This window comes from Homo sapiens, chromosome 17, assembly GCF_000001405.40.
Source record: "Homo sapiens chromosome 17, GRCh38.p14 Primary Assembly".
NCBI lineage: Eukaryota > Metazoa > Chordata > Mammalia > Primates > Hominidae > Homo > Homo sapiens.
Window position 1 is genome coordinate 68,941,938 of NC_000017.11, and position 13,674 is coordinate 68,955,611.

Below are 13,674 nucleotides of genomic sequence, written 5' to 3' on the forward strand. Positions count from 1 at the left end.
CCATTAAGGACTCTCTTTTCATTCTCCATTTTTTAAGAAAGTTCTTGCATAATAAGGCCCAAGTTTGTTGACACACACTGATCTTTCTCTTCCTCATCTTGTCTTGTTTAATGAAAAAGAAAGAAGATAAAATTAATATGAAGTTCTTAAGAAAAAGAAATATCCTGCAAACAACAAAAAAACGTAGCCTAATACTCCAATGTTCCAAATGAGTGCAAAGAGTCTGAGTGTTCCCAAGTCAGCATTGTATTACTCCCATGCTCTCCTTCCGTCCCCACTTGCAGACTCTGTTCCATCATTTATTTGTGATGCCCTGTGCCTGTTATCAATTTACTGTCTCTCAGCCCTAAATTCACTCTGCATAGCCTGCTCTATAAAAATGGATCTGAATCCTTTAAGTACTTTCCTTTGCCAGCTGGCATGATGTTATGCTGTTTCAGCAGAGAGGACAGTAGAGACACTGCAGGCATCTGATGCCATCCAGGTATCAGAATAGTTCATTTGCTGAGTTGCTATAGAATGTATTTTTCCCCACTGAGTAAATTGTTTTCTCCAATGCAAAGTACCTAGAGTGTGCAGGATTCACTGTGTGTTTCCTCTAGCTCTTGACTTGGGTAGCAGTAGTATATCTGGGAGCCCCAGATAGCTACATCCCTTTCCTCGAAGCTCTGTTTCCTTTGGCCGTCCTGTTGCAAAAGGAGTGCACTCTAGTACTGGTGTCCACAGCTTGCCATTCAGACTTCTTTGCCATTCGGTGGGTTTCAACCACTTCTTATCCAATTGTCAATACCTTATCTCCTCATGTTTATTCTTCTTTGGATATTCTCCCTCAGCCCTAGGAAGCCCTCTTGAGCTCTCAGTCCATCTTTATAGTTATTCTCCTGTCACTATTCAATAGTTCTGTATATTAAACTTACTTCATTTAATTACTATGTAGTTTCTGTCCCCAGATTGCACCCAGACCAACACCTACACATACACCACTCTTAATTTCAATAAATACATCCTTGAACACCCAATTTAATGACTCTATAATATTTAGCTTAAGAACCTGAATAAATAATCTGTTTTAGGAATTGATCTATCTAAGACAATTTAATGGGATCTTTGTTATTTCTGGCAGAAATAATTGCTCTCTTTACTAATTTGTTGTGGGATGAAAGAAAATTTTCTTTCCCTAGTGAAAGAAATTGAACTTTTTACTATCTTTCTTTGAAGAATTAAAATCTTAATATAGGATAATCACCATAGTTTGGCCTGGAAAAAGCTTTACATTGTCTTTTTAAAATGTCACTTTAATCGAATGTCATTTTAAAGTGACATTTATTTATTGTTTCCATCTTTAAGAATTTATTTATGTTTATTATGCAGAGTCATCAGGAAAAATACACACACGTATTTCCATATATATGATCTCCGTGTATGTGTATAGATATACTTTTTTCTAAAATCATTGTAGCAATTTGTACTATGATAGGAAGTATTTCAAAATTCATCTTTTCCACATTCTCATCTATAACCATATTGCCATTCTCTATAAGATTTCCTGGATTTTTCTTTCACTTACAATGCATAAATTCTCAAGAGAATGTTGCTACTTTCCTAATAATGAAACAAAGTCAGATAATCTATAAAATTATAACTTTTCTTGGGTCTATCAAAGAGCTGAGTTCACAGGTAACTAGGTAAACTAAAGTCCAAAGGGTAAAAGCCTTCTCCAGGGATAAAAGGGACCCATGAACAGTTTCAGAATTGGTAGAGTATTAGAGAAAGACATGGCTACTATAAAAGCAGGTAGGGAGAAAGCAGCTGAAATGTTAAATTTTTAATGGCTGAGTGTGGACCCACAGCTTGCGTGTTTGTTTACAATTACCAGGACCCCAGCACATTTGTCAACTCTTTTTTTACAGGCTTCACCTAGTATTCATTAAAAAAAATTACAATAGCAAAGAGTTGGAACCAACCCAAATCCCCATCAATGATAGACTGCATAAAGAAAAATGTGGCATATATACACCATGGAATACTATGCAGCCATGAAAAAGAATGAGATCGTGTCCTTTGCAGGGACATGGATGAAGCTGGAAGCCATCATCCTCAGCAAAATAACACAGGAACAGAAAACCAAACACCTCATGTTCTCGCTCATAAGTGGGAGTTGAACAAGGAGAACACATGGTCACAGGGAGGGGAACATCACACACTGGGTCCTGTTGGGGGGTGAGAGGAAAGGGAAGGGAGAGCATTAGGACAAATACCTAATGCATGTGGGGCTTAAAACCTAGATGATGGGTTGATGGGTGCAGCAAACCACCATGACACATGTATATCTATGTAACAAACCTGCATGTTCAGCACATGTAGCCCAGAACTTAAAGTTATATATATATATATATATATATATATATATATATATATATATACACATATACATACATATGCAAACAAGAGACCTGAAAGACCCCCAGTAGCTCACAGGCCACAAAATCTACCCATGTCTCAGAACATTTTTTCCAAAGGGCAAATCTAGAAACCTTGGTAGAAGGACAGGAATCCCTGTCAGCCCCACAAAACAAGCTGTTATTGCATCTTGGGGAGGAGTTAAAGCAAAAATCAGCAGCTAATGAGGGGCAATCTGTAAACCACCAACCACCCCTTCCCCCAACCTTTACTCCTGTTCCAAGTGAATTTCTGCTGCTAAGTTATGGGTAGAAGCAAAAAACCACTTTGTGGAGGGAGAGGAAGGAAACCACGTCGCTCTATGATAAAAGCCTTGCACCTGGTAAAAAGCAACAGCCTGCTACCACTGCAGGTGGGGCAGGAAGCTTCCAGTTCCCATTCCCAAGCAAAGATAATTTGCAGCTGAGATTTGCAACAAGGACCCAGCACGGATACAAAGCAGAGACAGGCTCTCACCACGGCGGGGGAGAGGACGCTCTCACAGGTCCAGAACCTCTCAACAGATACAAGGTAGGAATTGGCTGGTATGTAGGGAGAAAAACATGTTGAGGAAGCCCCATCTCAAGGGCCAGATCTATAGTACCTAATACTGAGGCTGGAGCAGGAAATCTAGAGTTCCTCCTGCCCATATCTCAAGCACTGCACTGAGCAAAAAGCTATGGCAGTCTATGGATGGGGGAAGGGTAAGATAATGGAGGGGGTCTCCTTTACTGCTTGGGTGCACAAGGCCTTTGAAAGTTGAGGGTGGAACAGGAACACAGAGAAAACAATTTGCAGCTTCTCAGAGCCAAATTATTTACAAACATGGAGTGTGTAGGGTATCTCAGTATTAGAATTTGTGTTGTCTGTTGTCTTGTTTTTCATAGAATTTGAGCGTCGTCTTATATGTTGAATGGCCACTTAGACTTCTGGAAATAGCTTTTTGTACTCAGTTGATTTTTTTTTGTCATACCTATTTGCAGGAGTTCATTATGTATTTTAGATATTTGTTTGCTGCTAGTTATTAATTTTGTCAATCTCTAATTTTCTTCTATTGTATTCAAGTTTAAGTTTTGTTGTGGTCAAACAACCTTTTCCTTGGTGATTGTGTATTTGGTGTGTGTGTCCTGTTTAGAAAGCACTTTCCTTTTCAGAAGTCATAAATGCACATTCCTTCATATTCTTCTAATAATCTCAAGTATTTGTCAAGAGTACATGAAAGATGTACTCTTTCATACATCTGAGTTTATTTTTGTGTAAGACCTAAGAGAGTGACCTAAGTCGTTGGTGATGAGTTTTTTTCTTTCTGCATTTCTCAAGCATATTGTTCCAACATGAACTACTTTCTGGTTCCTTCTTTCCGTATTCATTTGTTATTCCTTCTCTCTCGAATAGCAGATATGTGTGTGTTTGTATTTATGTTTGTGTGTATATGTGTGTGTGTGCGCATATGTATATATATTATGCGTGTATGCACTTTGAAGTATTCTAGTTTTCAATTAATCTCTTTGTATACTTCTCACACATAGTCTAGTTACTAGCAGTTACTAGAACTTCATAATAAGCCTTCATAAATTCTAGAACAGGTTCTTCATCTTATTTATTTTTTTCAAAATTGTCTTGGCTCTTCTGGGAGCTTACTATTTGTGACAGAAACTGCTAGCTTTTTACCAAAATTAATTAATTAATTAATTAATTAATTAATTTTTGAGATGGAGTCTCACTGTGTGGCCCAGGCTAGAGTGCAGGGGCGCCATCTTGGCTCACTGCAATCTCCGCCTCCCAGGTTCAAGCGATTCTCCTGCCTCAGTCTCCCAAGTAGCAGGGACTACAGGCGCCCACCACCATGCCCAGCTAATTTTTGTATTTTTAGTAGAGATGGGGTCTCACCATATTGGCCAGGCTGGTCTCGAACTCCTGACCTCATGATCTGCCCACGTTGGCCTCCCAAAGTGCTGGGATTACAGGCGTGAGCCCCCGCACCCAGCCGCTTTTTACCAAAATTTATTACTTTTTCTTTCTGAGCACAGAGCTATACTCCATTCACAATGACATAAGATTGCTTCCTAGTCAATGGAATATATGCAGAAGAAATAATGTGCCATTTCTAAGTCATGATATTAGGAAGTAGGTGAGTCTCTCTATATCCTCTTTTCCCTTCTGATAGGTAGATGCCTTAGAAGACAGCCGGCCAAAAGACGGATGGAATTCAGTTTCCTAGATTATCATGGGAAGATAAACTGATATATTAGTTTAATGAGCAAGAAATTATATTGTATTGGCCGGGCATGGTGGCTCATGCCTGTAATCCCAGCAGTTTGGGAGGCTGAGGCAGGCGGATAACCTGAGCTCAGGAGTTTGATACCAGCCTGCGCAACATGGTGAAACCCTGTCCCTACTAAAAATACAAAAAAATTAGCTGGGCATGGTGGCATGCACCTTCAATCCCCGCCACTCACGAGGCTGAGGCAGGGGAATCGCTTGAACCCAGGAGGCAGAGGTTGCAGTGAGCCAAGATGGCGCCACTGCACTCCAGCCTGGGCGACAGAGTGAGACTCCATCAAAAGAAAGAGAGAGAGAGAGAGAGAGAGACAGAGAGAGAGAAAGAAAGAAAATAAATTGTATTGTAGTTGAGCCATTAAATAATTTTTGTTAGATTTATTCTACAGTTCAATTTATATTAGCTACTTATACTCTTCTAAATGCATATTGGAAACATTTTGACAAGTTTCATGATAAATAAAGGTCTGATTACTATTGCATTAAATTTATTGATTCATTCAGATATAATTAAAATGTTTATGGTATTGAGTTTTCTTCTACATGGACATTAGATATTTTCTTATGTTCTTTTGTGATTATGATTATATCTAATATAATCTACTAACATGTAAATTAGATTGATGTTTTCTCTCATGTTTTCCAGCAAATACTATAATTTGTCATAAGGTATTTTTAAATACTACTTAATTGAATTTGCCAATATTTTACTTGGGATTGTGTATAATCATAAGTTACAGTGTACTATAATTTAATTGTTTATACAATGTGCTTGTCTGCTTTTAGCCTCAGTGTTATGTTAGCTTTATTATGGCTAGCATTTTCTCTTTTTCTGTTCTCCAGGGCAGTTTGTAACACATGGAAGATCTGATCTTAGAAGGCTAGTAAACTTGCTGATAAAACCTTATGAGCCTGTTGTTTCTGGGATAAGGATGGGCTAAATTATCATTGCTGTTAACGAAGGTTCAATTAATTAAATATGACTGGTCTATTCAAGTTGTCTGTTTCAACTTGATCCAATTTTGATAATTTTCACTGAAAAGTATTCATTATATTTAGATTATTTATTTATTTATTTATTTTTATTTTACTTCATGTTCTGGGATCATGTGCAGAATGTGCAGTTTTGTTACATAGGTATACATGTAACCATGGTGGTTTGCTGCACCTATCAACCCGTCATCTAGGTTTTAAGCCCCGCACGCATTAGGTATTTGTTCTAATGCCCTTCATCCCCTTGCCCTCTACCCCTCAACAGGCCCTGGTGTGCATTGTTCCCCTTGATGTGTCCATGTGTTCTCATTGTTCAACTCCCACTTACGAGTAAGAACATGTGGTGTTTGGTTTTCTTTTCCTGTGTTAGTTTGCTGAGAATGATGGCTTCCAGCTTCATCCATGTCCCTGCAAAGGACATGATCTCATTCTTTTTCATGGCTGCATAGTATTCCATGGTGTATATGTGCCACACTTTCTTTAGCCAGTCTAACATTGTTGGGCATTTGGGTTGGTTCCAAGTCTTTGCTATTGTAAATAGTGCTGCAATAAACATTATGTGTGCAAGTGTCTTTATAGTAGAATGATTTATATTCCTTTGGGTATATACCCAGTAATGGGATTGCTGGGTCAAATTGTATTTCTGATCCTAGATCCTGAGGAATCGCCACACTGTCTTCCACAATGGTTGAACTAATTTACACTCCCACTAACAGTATAAAAGTGTTCCTATTTCTTTACAGTCTTGTCAGCATCTATTGTTTCCTGACTTTTTAATAATCGCCATTCTGACTGGCATGAAATGATATCTCATTGTGGTTTTGATTTGCATTTCTCTAGTGATCAGTGGTGATGAGTTTTTTTTATTTGTTTGTTGGCCACATAAATGTCTTCTTTTGAGAAGTGTCTGTTCATATTTTGTGTCCACTTTTTGATGGGATTGTTTTTTTCTTGTAAATTTGTTTAATTTCCTTGTAGATTCTAGACATTAGCCCTTTGTCAGATGGGTAGATTGCAAAAATTTTCTCCCATTCTGTAGGTTGCCTGTTCACGCTGATGATAGTTTATTTTGCTGTGCAGACGCTCTTTAGTTTAATGAGATCCCATTTGTCAATTTTGGCTTTTGTTGCAATTGCTTTTGGTATTTTAGTCATGAAGTCTTTGCCCATGCCTATGTCCTGAATGGTACTGCCTAGGTTTTTTTCTAGGGTTTTTATGGTTTTGGGTTTTACATTTAAGTCTTTAAAACATTTTGAGTTAATTTTTGTATAAGGTGTAAGGAAGGGGTCCAGTTTCAGTTTTCTGCATATGACTAACCAGCTTTCCCAGCACCATTTATTTAACAGGGAATCCTTTCCACATTGTTTGTTTTTGTCAGGTTTGTCAAAGATCAGATGGTTGTAGATGCGTGGTGTAATTTCTGAGGTCTCTGTCCTGTTTCATTGGTCTATATATCTGTTTTGGCACCAGTATCATGGTGTTTTGGTTACTGTAGCCTCCTAGTGTTGTTTGAAGTCAGTTAGCATGGTAAACTAGAAAATCTAGAAGAAATGGATAAATTCCATGACACATACACCCTCCTAAGACTAAACCAGGAAAAAGTCAAATCCCTGAATAGGCTGATAACAAGTTCTGAGATTGAAGGAGTAATTAATAGCTTACCAATCAAAAAAAGCCCAGGACCAGACAGATTCACAGCTGAATTCTACCAGTGGTACAAGAGGAGCTGGTAGCATTCCTTCTGAAACAATTCCAAACAGTCGAAAAAGAGGGACTCCTCTCTAACTCACATTATGAGGCCAACATCATCCTGCTACCAAAACCTGGCAGAGACACAACAAAAAAGGAAAATTTCAGGCCAATATCCCTGATTAATATCGATGTGAAAATCGTCAATAAAATACTGGCAAACCAAATCCAGCAGCACATCAAAAAGCTTATCCACCATGATCAAGTCGCTTCATCCCTGGGATGCAAGGCTATTTCAATATATGCAAATCAATAAATGTAATCCATCACATAAACAGAACCAATGACAAAAACCACATGATTATCTCAATAGATGCAGAAATGGCCTTTCATAAAATTCAACATCCCTTCATGTTAAAACCTCTCAATAAACTAGGCATTGATGGAACATATCTCAAAATAACAAGAGCTCTTTACTGCAGAGCCATAGCCAATATCATACTGAATGGGTAAAAGCTGGAAGCATTCCCTTTGAAAACTGGCACAAGGCAAGGATGCCCTCTCTCACCACTCCTATTCAACATAGTATTGGAAGTTCTGGCCAGTGCAATCAGGCAAGAGAAAGAAATAAAGGTATTCAAATAGGAAGAGAGGAAGTCAAATTGTCACTGTTTGCTGATGACACGATTCTATATTTAGAAAACCCCATAGTCTCAGCCCCAAAACTCCTTAAGCTGGTAGGCAACTTCAGCAAAGTCTCAGGATACAAAATCAATGTGCAAAAATCACAAGCATTCCTATACACCAACAATAGACAAGCAAAAAGCCGTCCACTGCTCAAGGAAATAAGAAAGGACACAAACAAATGGAAAAACATTTCGTGCTCATAGATAGGAAGAATCAATATCATGAAAATGGCCATACTGCCCGAAGTAATTTATAAATTCAATGCTATTCCCATCAAGCTACCATTGACTTTCTTTGCAGAATAGAAAAAAACTACTTTAAATTTTATGTGGAACCAAAAAAGAGCCCGCGTAGCCAAAACAATCCTAAGCAAAAAGAACAAAGCTGGAGGCATCCTGCTACCTGGCTTCAAACTATATTTAGATTTATTAGCATGAATTTAAAATATCTATAACTAAAAATACTTTTGAAAACCTATTATAAATGGATGTATGTTTTCTTCTATTTTTAAGCTTCTTTTTATTTTTATTCATTAGTCTTGCTAGAATTTTGAATGTATTAATGGCCTTTTAAACAAAACAGCAGTTTACTGTTTCATCATTTTCATTGCTTACTATGTTTTCTAATTTATTAATTTATCCTCTTACTTTTCACGGTTTTATTTCTACTCTTTTTGGGGGTTGGTTTTGCTACTTTTTCCTTTGGCTTCTTGGCTGAAATAACGAACTAATGTTAGCAGAGTGGCTGAGAAAATGGATTCTGGAGTTGAGTGATTGATTGCATCAGTGACCCAATTATCCATCTGTCTGTGTCCACCCTTTGTCTGGTAATTTTGGAGTTTTTGTCATCAAGGCAGGCTAGTACTTGGGCCAAGAGAAGAAGGGAGGTGTGATGTCGCACCAGTTCTGAACCTCAGCCTCCCGAGACCTTGAGTGTATCTGCTTGTTTTTTTGTTTCTTCCATTGCTGTGAGAGCAGACCTGGCCTAGCCTACTGCGGAATGAAACCAAGCTGAGTCCTCTCAGTCATCCAGTTGAGAGTGCTAGCCAGTCCCCTCCCAGAGATACCATCAAGCCTATCCAAGATCAGCAGTTTCTTAGGAACCACTGCAGACACCACACTACAAATGCTTATTGCTGTGTGTTGTTATTTGGGTTTATTTCCTTTTTGCTATGTAACATAAATGTGGCAATAGACCATACATATGTTACTTAGGATTACCTCTTTAGCATTCACTATATTGAAGTTTCTTTGTTTTTAGTGACTTTTTATTTTTGATTTCTAACAATTATATTGTGACCAAAGAAATGACTTCTCAGTAAGATACTGCTTCTTTAAAATTCCTTAAGACTTCCTCGCTGGTGCAGCATATTTTAATATTTGAAAGTGTTCCACGTGCACCTAACATACCTGTAACTCACCATTTAGGTGAAGTGTTTTGTACGTATCTATTCAATCTTTTTCATTGTGTTCTTCAAATCTTCAGCATCCTTTCTAATGTTATATTTCCTAGATCAATCATTTCATAATAGAGTTCAATTAAAAATTTCCACTCTAATAATAGGTTTGGCAATTTCTTATTATATCTCTGTTAGTTTTCAGCAAGTGCATTTAAAGCATAGGTAGCTAGGTGCATAAAACATTGCTTTTTTATGTTTCAGTAATAGGTTGCTTCTATTTCTGATAATATGGAGACACTAGGTTTCTGTAGGTTAATATTTGCCTAATGTATCTGTTTCTATCTCTTTGTTGTTAACCTTTTGCTGCATTTTTAAATATTTGGTTACTATATAAAAAACTATCAATGCATTATGTTTAGAAATCTAAACTGATAGATAACTATATTTTAAGAGATGCATTAAACCATGTATGAATTTTTGTTTTGGATGATCTCTCATTCTATCTTATTCTCACGTTAAACCTACTTTTCTTTTGCTTCTAGTTTTGTCTACATCTTTACCTTCTATTGAATTGAAAATGTTTTCCTCTCCTTCTTCACTTCTTCTCCTGTCCCAAAGATGTAAAAGGTGGTTATATGTCTTTTATGGTTACTCTTAAATACTTTTCTAAGAAACTATAACTTATTTTATGAAAACTCAAAAGTATTTATTATCTCTGTTCTCTTTTTACAAACAAATGCCTTCTAGTTATTTTAACACTCTGCTGAATTCCAATCTAATTATCCTGGTTATTTATTTATTTATTTATTTTTGAGATGGAGTCTCGCTCTGTCGCCCAGGCTGGAGTGCAGTGGTGCGATCTCGGCTCACTGCAAGCTCCGCCTCCTGGGTTCATGCCATTCTCCTGCCTCAGCCTCCCGAGTAGCTGGGATTACAAGCGCCCGCCACCACGCCCAGCTAATTTTTTGTGTTTTTAGTAGAGATGGGGTTTCACCTTGTTAGCTCGGATGGTCTCGATCTCCTGACCTTGTGATCCGCCTGTTGTTGTGTAGAAATGTGATTCAATTTTCAATTTAAAGAACATACAAAGTAGATTCATTTTTTACCATCAAATGTCTATTAACTTTGCCAATGAATTATGCATTTCTGTAGCGAGGCTTTGATATACTTGGGCTTGTGCAGGAGGTGGAGTGTAGAAATTCCTCCTGTACAGGGCTTGCATTGGCGGCAGCTGCTTTAAGAACCCAGAAACTTTTGTCCTCTCTGTAGGCTAGCTCACTGTGAAAATATCCCATGGATTTTACCTAAAATTGCTTACAGAGAGTGGCATTATACTTCTATAGATAACTGCATCAGTAACCAGAGAGGAGAAGTACAGCAGTAGACTACCCTCTACCCCCTGGTAGGAGTAGTAGCACATCACAGTTTCAGCATGTTCAATCTTGAGCAAAGAACATGATGTGATTGTTTCTGGGTATGTCTGTATATGGGGGGTGATTTTGTAGGGGAATTTATACATACAGTTTATTGCAGCAGGCACATAAAATACTTCCCAGAAGAAGATAATTCAGTGCATAATAAGAGCACCACATCTTTCCAGAACTTCAATCAACCACTGCTACACAAATAGGATTTGCTAAGCCACTCCTGAAAACTGTAGGACTAGAGTGCTTTCAAATGGTCTTTGCCGTGGGAGAAAACAGGCTACCTAAGCTGAATTATAGAAAGTAAAGAGATTCTGGAAGGTACCATCATCAGTTTTCTGGGAAGCATGTGAAGGACATGACTTGGAAGAATGGGTCCAGACTTTTGAGCACAAAGCCAGCAGCTCCACCCTGAAGACCATCATTTGGCTCATAAGTCCTGACTTCTGAAGCAAGTGATCTCCCTCCGTATGCATGCCATGTTGGCCATGCAGTTTCTATGAACTCCTCCATAGTGATGAGAAGTGAATGAGCCCCAACTGAAGCCATCATCTCATTTATGGGACAGGATCACACACAGGGTGGTGCTACTTTCTAGAGCCAAATCTCAAGTAAGGTGTCCAGGGGTCAGTTGCAACAGAAGGCACATTAGCCACAGCAGTCTCAGAGAACACTGCTAGAAGAAGAACCTACACATGGCCATGCAATGAGGCTGAGGGGCAGGCCTAAGTGGAAGCAGACCAAGTAAAGAGGTCAGAGAGCCCATGGAAGGAGAAGAGGGAAAGACAGTTCCAAGAGTAAAGCAGCCTAGGTTAAGGTGCAGAAAATTCAGCATGGATACTTTTAAGAGAGCTGTGCAAGGCTCTCCTTACCTAAAATCACACTCCGTATACAGACATACCCACAAACAATCACATCATGTTCTTTGCTCAAGATTGAACTTGCTGAAACTGTGATGTGCTACTACTCCTACCGGGGGTAGAGGGTAGTCTGCTGCTGTACTTCTCCTCTCTGGTTACTGATGCAATTATCTATAGAAGTATAATGCCGCTCTCTGTAAGCAATTTTAGGTAAAATCCATGGGATATTTTCACAGTGAGCTAGCCTACAGAGAGGGCAAAAGTTTCTGGGTTCTTAAAGCAGCTGCCGCCAATGCAAGCTCTGTACAGGAGGAATTTCTTTTTTTTTTTTCGTTTTATTATTATACTTTAAGTTTTAGGGTACATGTACACATTGTGCAGGTTAGTTACATATGTATACATGTGCCACGCTGGTGCGCTGCACCCACTAACTCGTCATCTAGCATTAGGTATATCTCCCAATGCTATCCCTCCCCCCTCCCCCCACCCCACAACAGTCCCCAGAGTGTGATGTTTCCCTACACTCCACCTCATGCACAAGCCCAAATATATCACAGCTTCTCTACAGAAATGCATAATTCACTGGCGAAGTTAATAGACATTGGCCAAGAGGATGATCTCCTCACTATGGAATCAGCTACAGTCTTAGGTAGCATGCAAACTCCAGTCTGACTCCAATCCCTTATATCTTCCATCGTAAAGTATTATTGCCAACTTTGTTTCTTTCCAATTTTTGTATGTTCTGCAGTTTATGTAAAGGCTAGCAAAAACATGAATACTTTATTATACATATGGCAAATAGTCTCAAATTGTAATGACTCATTTTTATCCTCTTATACTGTTGTAAAATTCAGAACAACATGTATTCACTATAGGAGTATGAAAATTCTTTTTACCAATGTACATTTTAAATAACATTGTGGTAAAGAGAAGCTACATATTTCACATTCTGATTCAACTCACTGTATCCAACGAGTAAAAGATCCTAGAAAGAATCTTACATTTCTAAAATTCTTATAGACTAAGAGTGAGCGATAGGAACAATAAAAATATTTCTGTAAGTGCTCTTGGTAAACAGTCTTAAAGTCAGAAGAACACTTATCCAAAATGCCCTACATTATTGTGCAATCAAAGTAGATAACTTTAACTTCAAAAACAACTCAGTCTTCCAACCCAATTCTTAAAACTCTAAGCTCTTCACAAAAAATTTTTAGCCAATTTAAACTTATTTCTACACTCAGTTATGTTTAAAACAACATAATGTTTGCATAATTTTTTAAAAAACATTCTAACTCAATGTTTTTATTTATCTAATATTAATTACCAGATATAAAATCTTTAAAGTAGCCCAATATTTTTCAAAATAATTTCTGCATAGATGATTGTCATTCAGTTTATAAAGGTTTATTTATAATTTTGTGATAGGAATAAGAAAAGACAAAACCTCTGAAACAAACTCACACACAAAAGCAAAATACAAAACAAAACAGAAAAAATACAGTGAACTTACTTCTGGGAAAATGGAAGCAAGGAATCTAGAGGTATGGTTTATCCACTGAGCTCCTTGTTTAGAAGAAAGTTATTCATATTTTCTCCTGGTCTCTACCATGTATCTAGAATTTGCTTTAACTATTTGACTTCTGTGAAAAGTTTCTGTGAAGACTGCTTTCAGAGTGGAGGTTATGATCTCAATTCTGTTGGCCCTGCCAAACATCACATTCACGTCATCATGCTTGGACTGTTTGTCTTCTCATTGATATTCGGCCAGTTCCTGCAGAGCAGTGGCATTTATACTGGGTTGCCTGGCTATATCATATTATAGGGAGCAATTTCTCTTTTACGTCCAAGATTATTGTGGCTAATACCAAAATTTAAAGTGCTGTCTTTAAGCCATGAGAAAGTA

General features: G+C 37.9%; 1 protein-coding gene across 8 annotated transcripts in view; it reads right to left on the bottom strand.

The window, feature by feature from the left end:
• Nucleotides 1-13,455, bottom strand: part of ABCA8 (ATP binding cassette subfamily A member 8) — an 88,104-nt gene extending 74,649 nt beyond the window's left edge. For 6 of the 8 annotated variants that reach the window (NM_001375772.1, NM_007168.4, NM_001288986.2 and 3 more), the window contains exons 1-2: nt 13,282-13,455; nt 2-102 (exon numbers count right to left, since the gene is read on the bottom strand). Coding sequence is in view for 6 of the 8 variants with exons in the window: in NM_007168.4 (NP_009099.1) it covers nt 2-97 (96 nt within the window). In the remaining 2 variants the exon portion in view is untranslated. Of the gene's footprint in view, nt 1; nt 103-7,374; nt 7,536-13,281 lie in introns of all 8 variants that reach the window. The other 2 variants (NM_001288985.2, NM_001375771.1) reach the window with 2 other exon arrangements.
• Between the last annotated feature and the right edge of the window lie 219 nt (nt 13,456-13,674).